The sequence below is a fragment of the Homo sapiens genome, chromosome 4, assembly GCF_000001405.40.
Source record: "Homo sapiens chromosome 4, GRCh38.p14 Primary Assembly".
Lineage (NCBI taxonomy): Eukaryota > Metazoa > Chordata > Mammalia > Primates > Hominidae > Homo > Homo sapiens.
Window position 1 is genome coordinate 159,310,160 of NC_000004.12, and position 22,047 is coordinate 159,332,206.

A 22,047-nucleotide genomic window follows, 5' to 3' on the forward strand; every position below is an offset into this window, starting at 1 on the left:
AGTATTTGAAACATAATAGTAATTGAGCATATAAGGACTTAAATATGAAATTATTCTGCCTATCAAATTAGCACAGATTTTCTTACTTAAAATAAGCATTTATAGACATTTTTATATACTCCTCGTAGGATTGTAATTTTGGGGAAGCAACCTAACGATTTACATTAAGAGCTTTAAAAAATTGTTCTTCTCTTTTAGGCATATATATGCTTTTAATAAGCAAAACTTTTTTGGCAAGTGATTTTAAAGTGCTTACTGATAAAACATGCAGTATTTGATTTTTATTTTAGTTAAATTAATACTTCAGTAGAGCTTTATGGCATAAAAATTTTTTTGTTTGTGAATTTTCTTGATTTTTTTTAAAAAATGTAAAATAAATTGGTTTTAAGAACTGTGTTCACAATAGCAGAATGTATTTAGTCCCTTTTGATTTAAATAGTGGAGCTTTCAGCATTGATCTGAGAATATTGTTTTTAAAAGAATATCACTATTTAAATATTAATGGACAACAAAATCTATGTTAGTCAGTACCTGTATAAGATAAATTAATTTAAGACAGGAGTTATTTGGCTAACATAACTATGTAAACCTTTCTCCTTGTTCCTGAAACAAATATATCCAGATAAGCTTTTAAATATAAAGCGTCTGTTTTAGTGTCTTTATTTAGAAAAAAAGGGTTTAAAGACATGCGTGAGTCTTAGTAGTGTTGTTATTTGGAGGAAGCTAGAAAACAATAAGTGTTATGTTCATAGGCAAATATGTATTTAAACTTTTTATCTTTTATGACTTAGCAAAGTGGAAAACATTTTATTACTGTATTATATTTCAATTTTTTTTTATAAGACTATTGAGAATGTCGAGCAAAGTGCAGAGTACTTAGTATTTCTTGGTTGGTCACACCTGATTTTGAGTCCTAGCACAGTTACTGTGTTTTGTTTTGCTTACATTGAACAACTTATTTAATGTCCTTGACATTTTCTCCTCTGTAAACTAGGGTTAGTAATACTAACTTGCTGAATTGATATGAAGATTATTATGTTTTAAAACATCAACTTTAGTGCTAGACACATATGATAGTCATTCAATATAGGATCACTATTTTTATAATTGGTGTATGAACCAGTTGACCAGAATGTATTTGTGCAGTTAGTCTAAGATACTATTTTACAAATATATAAGGAGAGTGTGGTGTTTAACAGAATTTTGTGGGGTTTTTTGGTCAAATTCCACAAATATAAATTGCGTGCAGCGTTCATTGCTGCTATGGGGAGAGGTAGAAGGTGTACAAGTTCTAAGATGAAGAAAGTATCCCCTTGAGGAAGGGACTTTTGATCTAGCTTGAGACTGGCTTGCTTTCTCCCTTATTTGATCCAAAAGCAGTCCTATGAATAGTAAGAAGTTGTATCTACAGTTTACATCGATGATAAGATGGGCTTGTGGAGGTTAAGTGACTTTGCTAAAATCACATCATGAATAGTAGAGGTGAGATTTGGAGCCACAAAACTGAGTTTGTTCACACAGTAAATACTACATTCTAGGTACTCTTCTTAAGTTTAGTACTCCTCCTGGAGACCAGTTTGTGTTCCTTAAACTTTTAACTCCACTTAATCTCTAAACATCTTGTCCACAAGGCAGTGGTATTATGAAATTAGTAGGTCCCTGAAAAGTTGTTTATCACGTTCTTTTAAAGAGTATGATTTAGAGAATCTGTAGTATTTTAAGGTAAAATGGTTATTTATTCTAAATAATAATCTCTAAATTTTTGGTTTAGTAAATGTTATTTTATGAATAGTTTGTTTCTTAAAGCATGGAATGCACATAGAGATAGCAAGCAACTGTGATCTTTTAAATAAAGTGGAAGGTTCAGTTTGGGAGAGATAAATCCAGTTGACAGTTGAAAGTCTTTATGTTCTGCTTAAGCCTTAAATATAAATAATTTAAACGATAATTATTTCTTTGGGATGGTATAAAATATATTCCATCTTTTTGCATACATTAGATGTTTTAAAATTAAAGAAAAACCATTAGCTATATAAATTATTGAAAATATTTTTAAAATTTCTGTCTTTGGTAGTGTCCTTTCTTCACTCTATGCTAATATTAAAGAATGTTTATATAGAGAACTGATAATATTTTTGAAAATATAAGGTGATGAGTAATAAATAGTCTTCAATGTGAAGATGAAACTGAGGTAAAAATGTGATCATAGCAAGCATTAGCAAATTGTATTTCTAGACTTCAGGGTCAGGTGCTGATAACAATGTTGACCTATTTTCTCTAACCACAACCTTGGCATACTATATCACATCAAGTTCTACTTCAGTTTCCTTCTTAAATCTAGCAATGATTCAGTTAATTTTGAGTTTAAATTATGAGATGTGTTTCTGAGTGTGTCACAGTTCTGTCTGTATGGGCTGCAGTGGCTTATTACTCTCCTGCCTGCAGTATCTCTGCTTATAATGACCAGGCCATTGAACTTTCATAAACATTAGGTTTTCTGTCTTCAATTATTTTCCCCTTAAGTTTCTTTTTTAAATAATATATGCATTTTAGTTCAGGAAATTGTACCTAAAGAGCAGAAAATGTGATAAAACTCATTGTTAACACATGCTTGTATTATTTCAAAATGTAGGATTAAATCTTATGTTCTGTGATATGAACCGGGACTTTACAAAGCTGAAACTTTGTTTATAAGAAAATAGCACAGGCTGGGCGTGGTGGCTCATGCCTGTAATCACAGCACTTTGGTAGGCTGAGGTGGGCAGATCACTTGAGGCCAGGAGTTCAAGACTGGCCAAGCCAACATGATGAAATCCCGTCTCTACTAAGAGTACAAAAATTAGCTGGGTGTGGTGGTGCACACCTGTAGTCCCAGCTACTCGGGAGGCTGAGGCATGAGAATCGCATGAACCTGGGAGGCAGAGGTTGCAGTGAGCCGAGATCGTGCCATTGCACTCCAGCCTGGGCAACAGAGCAAGACTCTGTCTCAAAAAAAACAAAAAGAAAGAAAGAAAAAGAAAATAGCACAATTTATTCTGTAAATATTAAATTATAGGAAAAGGATAGATCCTTATATAAGCCACATTCATATTCAGTGAATGTTTAAAAAGAGACAGATTAGATTGCGATTAAGACTCTGAAGCCAGAATTCCTGGGTTGTAGTCTTGATTCCACAGTTTATCAGCAGCATGACCTTGGAAAAATTATTTCTCTTCACCTAAGTGTTAAGAGAATAATAAAAGTTAATAATGGCTTTTACTTTATAGGGTTGTTTTAAGGATTAGATGAGTTAATAAATACATAGCAATTAGAGCAGTACCTGACACATTGTAAGTATTTAGTGTTACCTTATTATTATTATCAAAGTCAGTATTTTATATTTTTATCTTTCTTTTAAAAAATATTTTTTTCTTAAAAAAGGTATTTATTATCTTTGAGAATCGTATGGGCTATGATTTGAAGTTGAACTTTGTAATATACGTTTTCTACAAAATTAATAATTGTATAAGATGTTTTCAAGATTTTAATATTTCATTTGGAAAAACACTTCTGTTCAAGATTGATGTAGTTAATATTTAATTGAATTCATTTTTACTATGCTTAAGTGATAATTGAAGTCTAGGTATATAATGTCAAATAAGATCTGTATGATATATACATACATATTGCTGAGATGATAGTCACAAAAGGCTACATGGTGACCTAGAAAGGATAACTGTTCTAGGATTGAGCTAGTTCAACAAAAGAGGCCATCTTGAAATGTGTGACTCCAGTGACTTAGAAAATTTGCAGGTATCTTGATAACTTGAAGTTTAGTGATGTGATTACCTGTGTTGATGAATGGGAAGAAAGAGTATGTTGCCTTTACGCGTATGGTCTCCTATAGTGTTTCTCGATTTATAGTTTAACAGTGGTCATTGGGATAATCCAACTAATTGTTAATGTTTCGTTTGCATATTTATCAAGTTACCTTTGATTTGTGGCTCATTTTTCCATAAGGACTGTCTAATTGGGGTAAAATGGTCCAGGCTTCTTGGCATTAATAAATTCACACCTATTCTGCAAAAGGAATTGCTCAGAATTGTCACCCTTAAGCTGTTAGCCTAAGCCATTCTCTTTGAAGAATGGAGTGAAAACAAATACTTTTTCTTCTTTATTCTACTATGTTTCAAATGCCATATGACAGCTAGGATAAGAAATCAAAATTACTGAGATAAAGTCGTTATTCCTGACCAAAAATTTAATAGGAGGTGGAATCACTCATATTTTGTTAAAGTAATTGTTACATGTAGTTTCTGGTGCATACATAGTTGTTGGATGGAAAAATAAATATAACAAGCATTATTTTGAATGAGGCTTGCTCTTGTTTCTTTGGGCCCCAAAGATTTATTTACTTAAAATAGTTTTTAATTTTTGTGTGTGTGTCTTAAGGCCACAGAAAGCGAGGCTGGTGATATGGACCTGAGTGGGTTGCCAGAAACAGCAGTGGATTCCGAAGACGACGACGATGAAGAAGACATTGAGAGAGCATCAGATCCTCTGATGAGCAGGGACATTGTGAGAGACTGCCTAGAGAAGGACCCAATTGACCGGACAGATGATGACATTGGTAAGCTTGAACAGGAAAATGAATCTACGAGCAATTAAAAAGATTTAGTGGCAAAATTGTCTGATGAAATAGAGCCCAAGACTAGTAGGCTTTAAAAACTCATTAATTTATTAATTTCCTTTGTATAAACAGTAGTATTTGTTGGACAAAAATTGGAAAAAATCAGGTTTACTCAGTCTTACCTTCAGGAGTCTACAAATAATAATGTGAATGAAACTTCTTAGTAAACCCTTTCCACATAAACCCTTTCTTAAGCTTAGTTTATGACAAAAAAAAAAAAAGTTAAAATGAGCCTTTCAAGCAGTATTACTTCTATTAATTTTCTCGTGAGCACTGTTTTTATTAAGCTCATGTTTTCTGTATGTAAACATAAAGGCAGTTGGTAAAATTGTCACAGTGATTTGCTTCTACTCTGGTTTTGTGTGAAGACGCAAGTGGGTGGAAGGAGACAGCAAAATGTCAGGTTAGTGGCATATAGGCTGTGTGATGGTTGAGACTTTTTTTCTGTCTTTCTTTTGCTGTTTTTGTCCTTTTTTTTTTTTAATTTTTATTTTATGTTCAGGAGTACAAGTGCAGGTCTGTTACATAGGAAAACCTGTGTCATGGGGGTTTGTTGTATAGATTATTTCATCACCCAGGTTTTAAGCCTAGTACCCTGTAGGGACCAGCCCCACAGGGTCGGTGGGTCTCTCCCCATGTGCAGAGACGAGAGAGTGTAGAAATAAAGACACAAGACAAAGAGATAAAAGAAAAGGCATTTAGGCCCGGGGACCACTACCACCAAGTTGCGGAAACCGGTAGTGGCCCCGAATGCCAGGCTGCACTGGTATTTATTGGATACAAAACAAAGGGGCAGGATAAGGAGTGTGAGTCATCTCCAATGATAGGTAAGGCCACTTGGGTCACGTGTCCACTGGACAGGGGGCCCTTCCCTGCCTAGCAGCCGAGGCAGAGAGAGAGAGGAGACAAAGAGAAAGACAGCTAATGCCATTATTTCTGCATATCAGAGACTTTTAGTACTTTCACTAATTTACTGCTGCGATCTAGAAGGCAGAGCCAGGTGTACAGGATGGAACATGAAGACGGACTAGGAGCGTGACCACTGAAGCACAGGATCACAGGGAGATGGTTAGGCCTCCGGATAACTGCGGGCGAGCCTGACTAATGTCAGGCCCTCCACAAGAGGTGGAGGAGCAGAGTCTTCTCTAAACTCCCCCTGGGGAAGGGAGACTCCCTTTCCCGGTCTGCTAAGTAGCCGGTGTTTTTCCATGACACTGAGGCTACCGCTAGACCATGGTCCGCCTGGCAACGGGCATCTTCCCAGATGCTGACGTTACTGCTAGACCAAGGAGCCCTCTGGTGGCCCTGTCTGGGCGTAACAGAAGGCTCGCACTCTTGTCTTCTGGTCACTCCTCACTATGTCCCCTCAGCTCCTATCTCTGTATGGCCTGGTTTTTCCTAGGTTATGATTATAGAACGAGGATTATTATAATATTGGAATAAAGAGTAAGTACTACTAACTAATGATTAATGATTTTATATATAATCATGTCTATAACCTAGATCTAGTATAACTATTCTTGTTTTATATTTTATTATACTGGAACAGCTCATGTCCTCGGTCTCTTGCCTCGGCACCTGGGTGGCTTGCTGCCCACAGTACCCATTGGTAATTTTTCCTGAACTTCCACCTCCTCCCACCCTCTAACCTTCCGAAAGGCCCCAGTGTGTGTTGTTCCCCTCTGTGTGTTCATGTGTTCTCATCATTTAGCTCCCACTTACAGGTAAAAACATGTAGTATTTGGTTTTCTGTTCCTCTGTTAGTTTGCTAAGGATAATGGCCTCCAACTCCATCCATGTCCCTGCAAAGGACATGATCTTGTTCTTTTTATGGCTGTATTGTATTCCATGGTGTATATTTACCACATTTTCTTTATCCATTCTATCATTGATGGGAATTTAGGTTGATTCCATGTCTTTGCTGTTATGAATTGTGCTGCAATGACTTTAAGTGTACCCAGAGGTTAAAAATTTAAGTAGCTTTATATCCACCTTTCCATCATAGCAAGAGTTGGTTGTGTAGTAATTGTTTTGGATTTGAGTATGCCTCCCAGACTCTGCCTTGTTTCTTCGAACACTGGAAATGAGAGCAACTTCCGTTGAGAGTCATCCTTCCACGAGATTTCCAGGGTCCATAGCCACCCTTGCCTGAGCCTTGCTTGTCTGTTGTACCACTCCCCCAACTCTTGGGCCAATACATATTTGAAGGGCAATTAAATGAACTGAATCTGTTGGAATTGATAAAGGATGGTGTGGAGTGGCTTGTTACATGAGTTTGAGTGACACAAACATGTATGAGGAAAAACTTTCACCATTTCAGCTATATACATATTCTAGGAAATTAAAGGCAAAAAAAAACCAAAACCTTAGATTAGACATTCAACATTTAATTGAAGTAATTTATGGGAATTGCTAACTCTTTATAGATGAATATTGTATGGTAATTATTATTTATTCATTCAGCTAATGTGGGTGAGCACCTTCTATGTACCAAGCAGTTTTCTAAGTCCTGGCAACTCACTCAGTGCTGAACAAGGGCAAAAGTCCTTGTTCTGTTGCAGTCTATTAGGGGAGACGCGTGATCAGCAAGTGAACAAATAAACCTATTGCAGGCAGTGAGTGCAGTGAAGAAGAGTAAAGTAGAGGCTGGGCTGATGGAAGCAGGGGAGTGGCCTGAGTGGAATGGTTCTGTTTCACCCCCTGAAGACTTAGGTTTGTACTTTTCCTGTTTCTGATATCGCGTGTTGATCTGATTTACAATTTCTAAAAACGGGTTTCACTCTCCAATTCCCTGTTCACTTTCTTGGGTCCAATACCACATGTTCAGCTGATTTCCAGTGTCCAAAATTGCATTTCACGTTCTCATTCTTTGCCCTTGCCAATTTCTTTCTTTTTAATCCCCTGTAGTTTTAAAGAAGTAAATTGGAAGTGTGTTCAGTTTACCATTTCAATTCAGAATCTTTACTCATAGGTGCTTTAAAAAAAAAAATTGGTGAAACGTTGCCTATGAATAGATTGATTTGGAAGTTACCATTTTGTAATCTAATATATCTTTTTTGAATCTGTTCATTTTAAAATAGTTGTGAAGAAAATGCTGATTATTAAAATACATGTCTGTCATTCTTGGAAATTTAAGACTTTCAGTTGATAGCTGAGAAACCCTCTTTCCCAGAATCTCTAGAAAGCAGCAGCCATAATGATTCCTACAAATAAATAAAAAGCCATCTTTAAAAAAAAAAAAGTGCTTGTCAATATAATTGCTACAGGGAGTAGCATTTATTTGAATACCAGTTTACTTGCAAGCAATGACAATTATCATGTTTGCAGCTATCAAAGATACATTTATTTAAAGCAATAAATCACTAACATTAAACAAGTCCTAAAGGGTGTTGTTTGTTCTATGTAAGACCTTGAAAGATTTTGTATTCTATTTCCCTGAAAATAAAATATGTGTGAGAACTGTTTAGCTCTTGTTAAATGCAACTCATCCTCCAGGATTTAGTTAAAATAGACAACCTTTATATAAAATACAAACATCTGTATGATTGATGTTTTCTCTAGATGCCTCTTTTCCTACCCAACGTCCTCTTCCCCTGCAAAAAAGGGACAGATTATGTCCACGTGCATGCATGTGAGTGTGTGCATGAGTGTTTAAGGTGAATCAAATGAAATTGCTAATATTTGAACATATTTTTGCGAGCTGCAGGAAGAAAAAAATTCCCTTTGGGTTCTGATAGATTTCTTGGGTATAGTTTTGTTTCAGTACTTTGAAGGAAGGGACTTTATCATATTAATTTTTACCCTGGAACTCATAACTTTGTAGGTACTCCATTATTGAATAGTTTTAAAAAATTTTTTTTGTTTTGAGAGTTTGACACAGTAAAGTAGAAGACTACTTTGATCTCTTTTAACAAGCCCCGGGTTTTTAAAAAAAATTAATAAAACATTTCTTATATAAAATTGTATCAAGCAAACCAGGATAAGCTAATTTTCTGAATTGGCTTCGGCTTCTGGTATCTATAAGTTAATTATTTGGGTTTTTTTATAATGGTACATTGTAAATAAAATGTTTTTAAAGCTTAATATTTTTCCATAAACGTTAGATAGGTCATAATAGTGTATCATTCTAATAGGTAAGTGTATAATTCTATAGATTGTTCTAAGAAATACAAAAGAAAATTGTCCTGTTTCTCCCATCCGTGGCTTCTTTTCCTTTGTCCTGAGGATTTTCCTAGTATCCATCCCAGGCTCTGAATTCTTGGCTATCCTAAGCCCTTTTAAGTCTGTATGATACCTATGGCATTGTCAGAGTTTTGAGCCCCCTGTAGCAGGAGTCTCCACCCCTGGGCCACAGACTGGTACTGGTCCCTGACCTGTTAGGAACTAGGCCGCACAGCAGGAGGCGAGTGAAAGGTGAGGGAGCATTACCACCTGAGCTCCACCTCCTGTCAAATCAGTGGCAGCATTAGTTTCATAAGAGTGCAAACCCTACTGTGAACTGCATATGCAAGGGTTCTAAGTTGTGCACTCCCTATGAGACTGTAATGCTTGATGATCTGAGGCAGAACAGTTTCATCCCAAAACTATCCCCCCGCACCCACCAAGAGTGGAAAAATTGTCTTTCACGAAACCTGCCCCTGGTGCCAAAAAGGTTGGAGACTGCTGCCATATATATATATGATTGGTTATAAAATAGTTCTTTATTTTTAAAAATTGCTCCAATCATCTAGTATAATATAGCATAGAAATTATCTAAAAACCAGTGATACCATTATTGAATCCTTGAAATCTTAAAATGAAATCTTAGATGCCATCTGGTTTAGCATTTATGTATTTCTGGTTTTTCAGCTGAGCCTGGATAATTATGTACATCTACTATTTGATCTTTCTGTCTCCTTTATTCTTACAATATATGATATGCAGGTATCTTCTATCCTGTGGTTTTTTTTTTAATGCTAGCCGCTACTTATATATCACAAATTAAACTCATGACCCACTAATAGATTAAGAGTCTGCCAAAAAGCACGCAATATGTCTACACGAAGCACTTTAAAATTATTACAACAAATACTTGTGAAGGTACTTTGTATTTTCTTCCCACTTTTTATTCTCTGATCATGTATGTGGTAATTATTTGACTTCTATTATTGTCTAAACAGATACTAAATTCAAAACATTTCTGACAATTTCTGGCCCACATTTTTCTTAAACCCATGAATCTTTGCTTGTCCAAAGAAATTTAGCAACTACAAGGGGTGGAAAAAAGTAAAATGCATGGTCTATAGGTAATAGTATCATAGTTTATGGTGAGGCGTGAGGGATGATGGCTAAAGAAAACAGAGGCTGGAAGCTGCAGAATTAACTGGGATGTGCTTCAGAGGACCATGACTTGTTCATTTGCCTTTATAATGCAAATCAAAAGGTCAATGCATTGGTAAAACAATGATTCCTGCCTCCCATATATGATAGATATGGGTCATCTCTTGCAATGGTGTTCAGAATTGCTTTACTGCTTCTCCAGGAATAAATACATTTTATGGTACAGCACAGACACTCCTACTCATTCCAGAAATAAAAGTTTCATGAAACAGAACGTATTCTTTCTATAACTGATGTGCTTTGATAGTTTAACTTATTTTTTAAAAAATACTGGTAGCAAAAGTAAAGTGATTTCCTGACACATAAATCTGAGTCAGTTTGTGCAACACTGTCCTATTGGACAGAATCTTTGGGTACACCTATCATTATCATTTTCCTTATTGCCAGAGCCCCCCTGTGTAATGAAAAGTCTTATATAGGAGGGATGACATAGAGTCCAATCAGAACATGCCATTGCCCAACTGGGCCAGAGAAAACCACTCCGTCTGTCCTTCCAGAAATGTTGTATCTGGGAAAATATATTCACAGAATATATTTTTCTGTTGTGCTTTGTTTTAGCAGTTAATAAACTATATCCAAGAACATAAAATTTGTCACTAAATCTTAACAGATAAAAGGAATGTATATAGGGAATGTTTGATTATGTACAAGAAACATCTAGTATGATTTTTATTTAGCCAAAAGTTTGAATGATGTCATGACTATTATAATAATGACAATAATAGCAGTTCTCATTTATTGAGTATTTACTCTGTGCCACGGACTTTTATCATCTTTATTGCATTTTATTCTCACAGCTATCCAGTAAAGCAGATATTGTATTTTTCTTTTTAAGTGAGAAAACTATGACTTAGGGAAGTTAATCACCTTGCCCAAAGTAATACAGCTAGTAAGCATTTAAACATCTGATGTACATACACCCTGTGCTCTTTACCACTCCCTTTAAAGTCCAGCATGATCTTTGGAAGCAGATGGTCTTGAATCATGTCACTGCCACTTTTTTTTTTTTTTTTTTAAGAGACAGAGTCTCACTCTTTCACCCATTATGGAGTACATTGTCACAATCACAGTTCATTATAACCTCAAACTCTTGGGCTCAAGCAATCCTCCCACCTCAGCCTCCTGAGTAGCTAGGACTATAGGTACGCACCACCACAGATGGCTAATTTTTAAAATATTTTGTAGAGATAGGGTCTTGCCACATTGCTCAGGCTGATCTTAAACTCCTGGCCTCAAGCAATCCTCCTGCCTCAGCCTTCCAAAATGTTAGGATTACAGGCACGAGCCACTGCGCCTGGTCTTGCCATCTCTTAATTATATGATGCTGATGCTGAGCCTTGGTTTCCTCCCTATGAAATGAAAAAGAAAACGCACTTCACAGAGCCATGGTGAGGAGTAAGGAAAGAACTTAGTGTGTAATTAGTAAAGCTACTGAATGATAAGAAAACACAGGACTTTTAAAAATAGAAAACCCAGTACTTGAAGAGACTGTGACATCAACAGCTAGAACCCTACCAAAGTGTAAGCTGTTTCTCCAAAGCATTCCCATAGGAAAGAAGAGTGAACAAACTTCCTTTTTTGCCAACTTGTGGGCTAAAAAATGGTGTTATCAGTTTTCATTTTCATTTATCATATCATGTCGTTAATTTTTTAATTGATCTTTTTTATGGATTTGATACATGGAAAATATTCCTTAGAATGTTTGAATTAAATATAGTTATTTCTGCTGACTATTTTAGGCATTCACCTGCCCAAAAGGCACAGGAATGAACCAACTGACTTGTTGGAGAATTCTCAGAGCTACCTTTCATTTCCACTCTCATAATAATAAGCCTTATATCTCATTTACAATAGAAATTTCCCATTTGAAGTTTAGTAATGTCTTTAGTGGTATTAGAACTGGAGTTACAATAAAAACTGTTGCCTCTAATTCAACAAGTAAGAGTCATCATTTCCACAGTGACAGAATTCTTTGTGTACCTGCAAGAAATTCAGCTGGTGCTAAAGATACTTGATATGTATTTTTCAATAAGCAAAATTGTAGGGCATTTAAAAAGAAAGGACCCTAAAACATTCTTTTTGAATACTTGTTTTTAATAAAAGTAGTAGTTTTTACAAAGTATGTCTTTTGCTTTTCAGAACAACTCTTGGAATTTATGCACCAGTTGCCTGCTTTTGCCAATATGACAATGTCAGTGAGGCGAGAACTCTGTGCTGTGATGGTGTTCGCAGTGGTGGAAAGAGCAGGGACCATAGTGTTAAATGATGGTGAAGAGGTGAGTAACTATTCCTACCACTTAAAAAGTTTCTTCTTAAAGATATCTCAATACAGCAATTGAACAAAACCCCAATTCTTACTTTTTCCTTTTTAATACCCAACAACAGTAAGTTTGAATAATTCAAGAATTATGGTACACCTGTTATGTCACTGTATTAGTCCATTTTCACACTGCTGATAAAGAAATACCTGAGACTGGGAAGAAAAAGAGGTTTAATTGGACTTACAGTTCCACGTGGCTGGGGAGGCCTCAGAATCATGGCAGGCGGTGAAAGGCACTTCTTACATGGCAGTGGCAAGAGGAAAAATGAGGAAGATACAAAAGCAGAGACCCCTGATAAAACCATCAGATCTTGTGAGACTTATTCACTACCAAGAGAACAGTATAGGGGAAACCACCCTCATGATTCAAATTATCTGCCACCAGATCCTTCCCACAACACATGGGAATTATGGGAGTATAACTCGAGATTTGGGTGGGGACACAGAGCCACACCATATGAGTCACTATATTCCAAATCCATTATATTTCCCATTATTTACAGAATTTCATATGAAAATAGAAAGTTTTTGATATATTAACTTTTCAGTTTTTGCATCTTAAATATTCATAAATTTAATGCATTTTGTCAGACAAAATGATATTCTCATTGAGGCAATGATGATCATTTTGTCTACATGAGCTTTGGGGGGACAGAGAAATTTTTTTCCTTGTGTCATTTTAGAGAAGAATATCCAAAGTCAAATTAAAAGGGCATTATGATATACATTCTGTGCTAGGCATATGGAAATATGTAGATATGTGGCTGTGTTTTATTCCTTATTCTGTGAACTTGTTAAACAGTAAACTTGAGTTACTTGTTTTATCTCCAAAATGGAAGATCTGCTAATTCATTTTTAGGGACCATACTGGCACTTACAGCTGTATGATCATGATGTTACTTTCTGCTTTGTCTTTATTTTTTTGGATTAGCTGGACTCCTGGTCAGTGATTCTCAATGGATCTGTGGAAGTGACTTATCCAGATGGAAAAGCAGAAATACTGTGCATGGGAAATAGTTTTGGTGTCTCTCCTACCATGGACAAAGAATACATGAAAGGAGTGATGAGAACAAAGGTGGATGACTGCCAGGTATAAAATATATCATTAAAAATATATATTTTATTCTTAATAAAGAACACTTATATGCCATTGTGATGAGATTTTTCTCCCTATATAAATATCTTACAAATAATTTTTTTTTTTTTTTTGAGACAGAGTATTGTTCTGTCAGCCAGGCTGGAGTGCAGCGGCACAAGCTCGGCTCACTGCAACATCTGCCTCCTGAGTTCTAGTGATTCCCCTGCCTCAGCCTCCCAAGTAGCTGGGATTACAGGCAATCGCCACCACACCCACCTAATTTTTGGGTTTTTTGGAGGGCTTTTTTTTTTTTGAGACAGAGTCTCTGTCTCCCAGGCTGGAGTGCAGTGGCGCGATCTCAGCTAACTGCAACCTCCACCTCCTGGGTTCAAGCGATTCTCCTGCCTCAGCCTCCCGAGCAGCTGGGACTACAGGCGTGCACCACCATGCCCACCTAATTTTTGTATTTGTAGTAGAGATGGGGTTTCACCATATTGGCCATGCTGGTCTCAAACTCCTGACCTCGTGATCCACCTGCCTCAGCCTCCCAAAGTGCTGGGATTACAGGTGTGAGCCACTGCGCCTGGCCTTTTTGTATTTTTAGTAGAGACGGGGTCTTGCCGTGTTGGCCAGGCTGGTCTCAAACTCCTGACCTCAAGTGATCCCCCCACCTCAGCCTCCCAAAGTGCTGGGATTACAGGCGTGAGCCACCATGCCTGGCACCAATAGGATTTTAATGTGGAACTATTACTTTTAGTCTTATAACACCCCAGAAAAGTAAAAATTAATTTCCATTTTACTTGAACTGCACGTAACTATGTGTTCGACTAAAAAAAAGTGTTATGTAAGGATGGTATTTTTAAATTGCCAACAGTAATTAATAATCTCATCAAAATATGGAAGTAAAATGCACATTATGAAGTAAATACATTAATAAAAGTGATATGAAATAGTTATGCAGTGTTTTTATTTAAATACATATAAGAAATTGATTTTAGAAGAGTCATGGAAATTAATCATAGTGTGAATCAGTAGAATGACTTGCTAGTTAAATAATAGCTAATAAAAAGAAAATACTTGATATCAAAAGAGAAATAGTATCAGTATTGATATTTTATTGATATTCATATTTAAAAGCATCTAATAATTGACTAGAGAAAATACTAAGGCCAAATGTGAAACTAGATTGATTTAACTGGCAACCACTATATTACAGAGAAATACATTTAAGATACTTTTGGTATTATTAGGTGTTTATAATTTATGACGTCTTCTAAAAGAATTTGTCTCTGAAACAAAATTAAATGTAAACAACCAAATGATGTGACTTAAACTAATTGTCAGTTGTATTTATTAGTCTGCAGTTTGAAAAACATCTGAATATAGTTTATTTTAAAGTAACATAATTGAATTTTTACAGTGTCCGGTCAATGTAAAATGGTATCACTCATTTAAATATTCATTTTAAGCATTTTACTTACTAAAAAGAAAAATGACCATGGCTATACATAAAATTATCTTATCTATAGAATCTAAATAATTCCACCAGCTAATTCCGTCCATGAGCACCATAGAGGAAAAAAAAAATAAGGCTATGACTTCAGTGTTTTAAATATGTAATGCCAGAAACGCATTCTAAATATATTTACTTCCCAATTATTTTGTATAATAGAGGAAAACAAAATGGTATAAGAGAGGAAAACAAAATGGTTAATTCTCAGTTATGTGGTATAATAGAGGAAAACAAATGGTAAATATTGAAGTCTTTATTTAGCGGGAATGGGCATTTAAAGGGAATTATATATGCTGTTTCAGCTCTGTAATTGTACTCTTAAAAAAAAACTAATCTAAACTGAGTCAAAACAAGCTAGCAAATTGTTAAAGCCTTTTCCTGTCTCCTATTTTCTCAGTTCTTCCCTGAACCCTTCTACATAGTGGAATTACAATAGTGTTTGAGTTAGAGTGTGTGTCCTTGACGAGCAAGTAAAAGTTTGTTTGTTTTTTTTTGAGAATTCAGCCATTGCATTAATACCCCTTAATTAGCCAGACCCTTTTGTTAGAAATTTTGTAAGTATGAGACTGAAATGATATGCGGCATAGAATTGTTTCAGGATAATTGATTGAAATATTATATGACTGAATATTACAGAGTGCTTAAGTCATGTCAAATGCACCAGGTAACATTATTTATCTGGGAGTTCTGGAAAAGGAAGAGGAAGTAGGGGTTATGTTAGGGAAGAGAATCTAATTTATTTACAAAGTGAGGGATTAGTAGGAAACCCAGATAGTCAACAGGGAAGAGTCCAATTCAAAAGAAAACTCTGATTAAGATATATAGACTCCTATATAGCTCCTAGTGTGAAGTTAATTATGAAGAGGGTCAAGGGTGAGGTACCTGCTAAAGAAAGTCCCTATCTTCCTTTCTGCTACACTCCACACCACTGTAAAAGGAATATGTTAAATCAGGGATTTCGTTCTTGTACTTCCATTGACTCATCTGCTTAGGCCTAGCATTTTATCCCTAAGGAATTCCTTAAACAGGGATGGAGAATGAATTTTGGCATTTTAATGTAAGTACTTGCTTGGGATACCATTTTAAGGTATTTCTGTTAAAATGTCATATAACTGTCAGAAAATACAAATGTTAGCTCATCTCCTTGTTGGGAGAAGTAAAAGAAACAGTGAGAACCATATTTTTATTCATGCATAAAATAGCCTCCATGAGTTTCTATCATTTTACTGACCATATTTTAGGGAAGCAAGTTATTGAGTGAAATGAACAAAAATGATGCTATCTTTACCAAGAAAAAACAACTTTGCATAGGCTTTGCCATCATTATCTTATATTTCAGGGAGTTCCAAAATGAATATTGGTTTCTGTAGTAAGATGGTTGAGCTCATGTTAAGCCTAAGAACACAATGATGAATGGATTAAATTTAAGATTTATTTGTTTGGATCCCATGATATGGTCAAGCTCTTGTTTTGCTCTGGGTCCCTTCCTTATATTCTCTTCCAGTTCTCCCACTTCAGTGTCTATTCTTACTCCCTGTCTGGTGTGAAAGGACAAAGTTCAGAGCTTGATATACACACCCTATGATACCAGGCAATTGGTAATGGTTTTCCATTACCCACATGTACCTCTTTCTTTTCTTTTTCCCTTCTCCTGTTGCCCTTTCTTTATTTCCTCTTTTACCCTCTTACTCCCTTTATTCTTTTCCCTTGTTTTCTTCTCCACTGCCTGTGTCTTAGGCCTGCCAGTGACACCCAGGCATTGCTTAGCCCTGCCCTCCACCCTTCAAGTGGGGAATGAACACTTGGATACCCATGTGCACAATTAGGTATGAATTTCCCTCACAGACTGCAAAGTGCCAGTTTAAATAGATCTCACCTGTTAAAGCAAATCTATGTTAGACTCACCTCTTCCTGGAATCATAGGCTCTAATAGCACTTAGAATGTAAGAAACAGTTTTGGATGAGAATACAGTTTGCTGTGGATAAATTGAAAATTGATTACACTATATGTGGTTTGAAGTTTAATTTTATTTCATTCATCATCTGTAATGTTTTACTTAAATACAAATTATAATGTCATGCCCAAAGGAAAATAATCCTATGATATAAACTGTCATTGACTTTTATAAGTGAATTCTTACTTGAATTTTTATTTTATACTAGGGTACTGAGATCATATAGTACTTTCATGGGCTTACAGCAATTTGAAACCCATGAGATTTACAGAAACTTAAAACCTCAGTAAAGCAATTCAGAGATTTTCTGAACAGGTACGGTGGCTCATGCCTGTAATCCCAGCACTTGGGAGGCCGAGGCAGGCGGATCATGAGGTCAGGAGTTCGAGACCAGCCTGGTGAAATCCCGTCTGTACTAAAAATACAAAAAAATTACCTGGGCATGGTGGTGCGCACCTGTACAATCCCAGCTACTCGGGAGGCTGAAGCAGGAGAATCATTTGAACCCAGGAGCCAGAGGTTGCAGTGAGCCAAGATCACGCCACTGCCCTCCAGCCTGGGCGATAGAGTGAGATTCTCTCAAAAAAAAAAAAAACTCAAAGATTTTCAACTGACTTCATCATATTAGTTAAAATTAAATGTTACCTGTGGATTTCATATTAGATCTATAAATTTGTTATAGCAAAAATAAGTTGCTTATTTAAAAAAGATAAATATTTTCAAGTAAAATGTATTTCTTTTAAGGTACCAGTTCTATATGACCATATTAGAAATTCAGTTTGGGATTTTTTTTTTTTTCCTTTTTGGATGGTGTTCCAGCTTGCTATAGAATAAATGCCAAAATGTCTGTCTAGACACTAAGAATTTCAAATCAAATGTATTCTAATTTAAAAAAGTCTGTAGTCAAGATTAATTTTAGTACATTTCTCTTCATAAAGCATTTTTCCCTTATATCTACTTATTCAGTTGAATTCAGGGATGTATTTCTTTTTTAGAAGATAAATGAGAAAATGAGTATTTAATTATGTTCTCTAAAACTGAGCACAAGAAAGAACACCTAGAATTATTTGGAAATAAAACCATTCTAAATCTCTTATATGTATTTGGGAATAATTTTGCTGCTGTGTACAAAGAAATAAAATATTTTTTAGATAAGAAACTAAGGATCATGTATTTTGAAACATTACACACCTGTGGTCAGTGTTAAGGAAATTGCTCAGAAATAATGTTAACAGTTTATTTATAAAATTAATGTGATACTATAAGCAATATTTTTAAAAATGTAATATCAGAGCTCTAAAGGTATTTTTAATATAATTAAAGTATGCATAATTACTAGTACAAAAAAAGCCTATATCTTTTGATTTTTAACTTTTTGCTTCAAAATGCTGAATAGAAAAACTAGTGAGATTAGCCAACTCTGGGAGAAATATGATACTGCAATATGCTGTTCCTCTTATGAACTGCTGCTTCTACTTAAAATCTATTGATTATGCGGAAAGCATGAAAAATATAGAAAGATACTAAAATGAAAGTCGCTCATAATTTGCATTGCTCAGAAATAATATTAACAGTTTATTTCCCTCCAAGATTTTGATGTGCATGTATAATTTATTTTAAAATGGCCAGCATGTAGTTATGAGACATCAGGCTGTTTACTCATCTGTACAGTGGGGATAATAGCACCTTCCTCATGGTTTGATTAGGAGGATGAATTGAAAAAGTTCCATAAGGCTGCCACAGTGTGATGGTGATGGTGGTGATGATGATGTTGTCATTATGATTATCGTAATATTTAGTATAGTATCTTTTTTAAAAAATTAATATGAGCAATATAAAAAGAATAATGTATTATCAGAGCTCTAAATGCCCTATGAAATCATGATTTCAGGTGGTTGCATCATATTTTATCTTATTTACAATATAATTTAACCACCTCCTTTTTCATCTTCTTCACATTAAAGGAGGAAAAGAAATACCATGCTTCTTTCCATTTCCGAATGATCTCTTGTCTCCTCACTGACCTCTAGTTAATTTCTATAATAAGTGATTTCTATCATTCATTCTTAACTTTCTTTAAAACTTCTAAGAAATGTAATTTCTTAAGTGGTTTGCCCTAAGCTCTGAAATTTTTTATATTTGGGGTCAGGGAGAGTAATGACTTCATATGCAGATTTTTAGCTTTTTCTTTAAGAGCAAGGATTACCCTTAATACCAGTTATAAGGATAATGTTTTGAGCTATAACACATATGTGGTTTGTGTTTTGACCTTCTTTGAACAAGCTTTCTAAAATGGTGTTTCATCAATATAATTAGCAAATTAATATATCTACTCCATAGGTATCTTTGAGTGTCTGTATCTTTCATTAAAATCATTCTCATTCAAAAATTGTTGCTTCTTCAAATTCTTTTAATTCACTAGATGATAATTAAGTTTTTACATCTATTCTCCTACAATTCCACTCCCCCTACTGCAGTGTTTTTTAATTGTGAAAGAAGCATGAAAAAGCTATCTTCTAATTATGTCTTTTGATTTTTAAAATTATTAGGATTTTGAATGTAAAATACATATAAGTATTCTAAAAATGAAACTTTTCTTGACCAAGGAAGAAATACATTAAAAGTAGAGAAGTCTGATTAAGGTTCATTACAGCATTAATTTAGAAAGTATGGGAAAGACAGGGAAAAATGTCAGTTTTAAATAATTAAAACACTGAATTATTAGTACTGCTAGGTCTTTTGCAAGCACTTTATCATTAACATGTGACTTATGTTTTATTCCAGTTTGTCTGCATAGCCCAGCAAGATTACTGCCGTATTCTCAATCAAGTAGAAAAGAACATGCAAAAAGTTGAAGAGGAAGGAGAGATTGTTATGGTGAAAGAACACCGAGAACTTGATCGAACTGGAACAAGAAAGGGACACATTGTCATCAAGGTAGGACACAGGACCACTCCTTCCCAAGGAAAGGAATTTTTTTTGGTAGTATTGGTTGTGGCAGTTTAGGATTTTTTTTCATTTTTAGGCCTATCTCTTAAAGGTTATCAGTTGTGAAAAATCTTTATGTATGATCTCCTAGTGAATAGCAGTTTCATTAATTGTTAACTGTGTTACTATCCAATTCATTTTATGTTGAATGTTTGAAATCCCAGTACCATATAAATGTCATATATGTGTGTGTGTATATGTATATGTGTGTGTGTGTGTGTGTGTGTGTGTGTGTATATATATGTAGTAATTAAACCTTTTCTTTGTTACAGGGTACCTCAGAAAGGTTAACAATGCATTTGGTGGAAGAGCATTCAGTAGTAGATCCAACATTCATAGAAGACTTTCTGTTGACCTATAGGACTTTTCTTTCTAGCCCAATGGAAGTGGGCAAAAAGTTATTGGAGTGGTTTAATGACCCGAGCCTCAGGGATAAGGTTGGAAATATATTCTATTTTGTCTCTTAAATATGAAATGTAAACCTAAAGATACTTTAATGTGTATATTTGTCACAGCAATTATGTCCAGATTAATGTAATGAAATAGGAGAATGTAATTCTGAAGCAAAAAAAAACAAAAAAACAAAAAAAAAGGTGATACAAAATATTAGTTCAGCCTTAGAAATATGAACAAAATATTAGTTCAGCCTTCTTTAAACACAAAGGCCAATAAATTGGCCACCAAATGTTTAAACATTTTTTTAAGTTCTGTTGGGAGTGTGTTAAAACATAAACATCTGGATTCCATAGGAATCTACATTTTCTAGTTTGGTAGTAAGTGTACACCAGATAAAAGTTACAGTTTTTAAATTGGCACCAGAGCAGCATTTCATGACAGTCATCACTCTCTGTAGGCCCCAGGATTATAATTCTAAGGAGACCATCTAGAGCTCTTGAGAGCTCTAAGGCCAGATTGGATGACAAACTACATTGTCTTATCTCCTTCCTTTTATATTCTGCACCCTTACAGAGCTTTCTAGGCTTAATAGCATTGATTCTCTTTGTCCAGTCTGTTCTTCTACCTTGACTTTCTAGTTTCTGTCTTTTGTATTAGCTGATTTTTGTTTTATTACACCTTTGCTTTTATTTTGATCTGTTTCAAATGCATTTTGAAAGTTAGACAAGTTTTAAGTTAAATACCTTCACAGACTCAGAACCTTTCCTGGCAAAGCAACATGAAGTCTATATTCAAAGTAAAAATACTCATTTTCAGAAGGTCATCCTCATTTAAGATTTTATTATTGTTAATTTATTTTCCTGTTTATTATTATTAGGTAAATTATTTGAAAGTTGGATATCTTTTCTGGAATGATTTTAATCACATTTTTGGCACTAAAAAGGAAACTTATTGAAAATAATTGACTTTTCAGGTTACACGGGTAGTATTATTGTGGGTAAATAATCACTTCAATGACTTTGAAGGAGATCCTGCAATGACTCGATTTTTAGAAGAATTTGAAAACAATCTGGAAAGAGAGGTAATATTTGTGGTTTTTTTTAAGATCAGCTTAAAGTTCATTTTATTCAGCCTGTTCTTGAGTTGACACTACTGTTTCTGAACTCTTAAAGAAAATGGGTGGACACCTAAGGCTGTTGAATATCGCGTGTGCTGCTAAAGCAAAAAGAAGATTGATGACGTTAACAAAACCATCCCGAGAAGCTCCTTTGCCTTTTATCTTACTTGGAGGCTCTGAGAAGGGATTTGGAATCTTTGTTGACAGTGTAGATTCAGGTAGCAAAGCAACTGAAGCAGGCTTGAAACGGGGGGATCAGGTATGCCATTTCTAAACTCATTTAAGGGTGAATTTTGGTGTCTGGTTTTTTTTTTCAGTCAATTTTGATACATTTTATAATTTCATTTTTAGATATTAGAAGTAAATGGCCAAAACTTTGAAAACATTCAGCTGTCAAAAGCTATGGAAATTCTTAGAAATAACACACATTTATCTATCACTGTGAAAACCAATTTATTTGGTAAGTATTTTGCATACTTTTCATTTTTCTCCTTTTGGCCTTGTTTTTTAGTATTTCAAACATCATAAGAAAGCATATATGGTAAAAGCATAGATTAGATCTAAATAAAAACTACTGACTTGACCATAAAAAATATTTTTAATCTGTCTTTATTGATAACTGAAATCTTTTA

At 34.9% G+C, this 22,047-nt stretch overlaps 1 protein-coding gene across 7 annotated transcripts in view, besides 1 other annotated feature; it reads left to right on the forward strand.

The window, feature by feature from the left end:
• RAPGEF2 (Rap guanine nucleotide exchange factor 2) overlaps positions 1-22,047 on the forward strand; it is a 257,095-nt gene that overhangs the window by 207,081 nt on the left and 27,967 nt on the right. For all 7 annotated transcript variants that reach the window (NM_001351724.5, NM_001394067.2, NM_001351726.3 and 4 more), the window contains 8 exons: positions 4,432-4,609; positions 12,188-12,324; positions 13,300-13,458; positions 19,699-19,851; positions 20,175-20,339; positions 21,272-21,379; positions 21,471-21,674; positions 21,767-21,875. In NM_001351724.5, the coding sequence (NP_001338653.1) occupies positions 4,432-4,609; positions 12,188-12,324; positions 13,300-13,458; positions 19,699-19,851; positions 20,175-20,339; positions 21,272-21,379; positions 21,471-21,674; positions 21,767-21,875 (1,213 nt within the window). The remainder of the gene's footprint in view (positions 1-4,431; positions 4,610-12,187; positions 12,325-13,299; positions 13,459-19,698; positions 19,852-20,174; positions 20,340-21,271; positions 21,380-21,470; positions 21,675-21,766; positions 21,876-22,047) is intronic.
• Positions 5,758-6,052: an enhancer, noted in NCBI's record as "tiled region #9369; HepG2 Activating non-DNase unmatched - State 12:CtcfO". NCBI's record gives its function as "activates a minimal TATA promoter and a strong SV40 promoter by Sharpr-MPRA in HepG2 cells {active_cell/tissue: HepG2}" and the evidence as "EXISTENCE:reporter gene assay evidence [ECO:0000049][PMID:27701403]".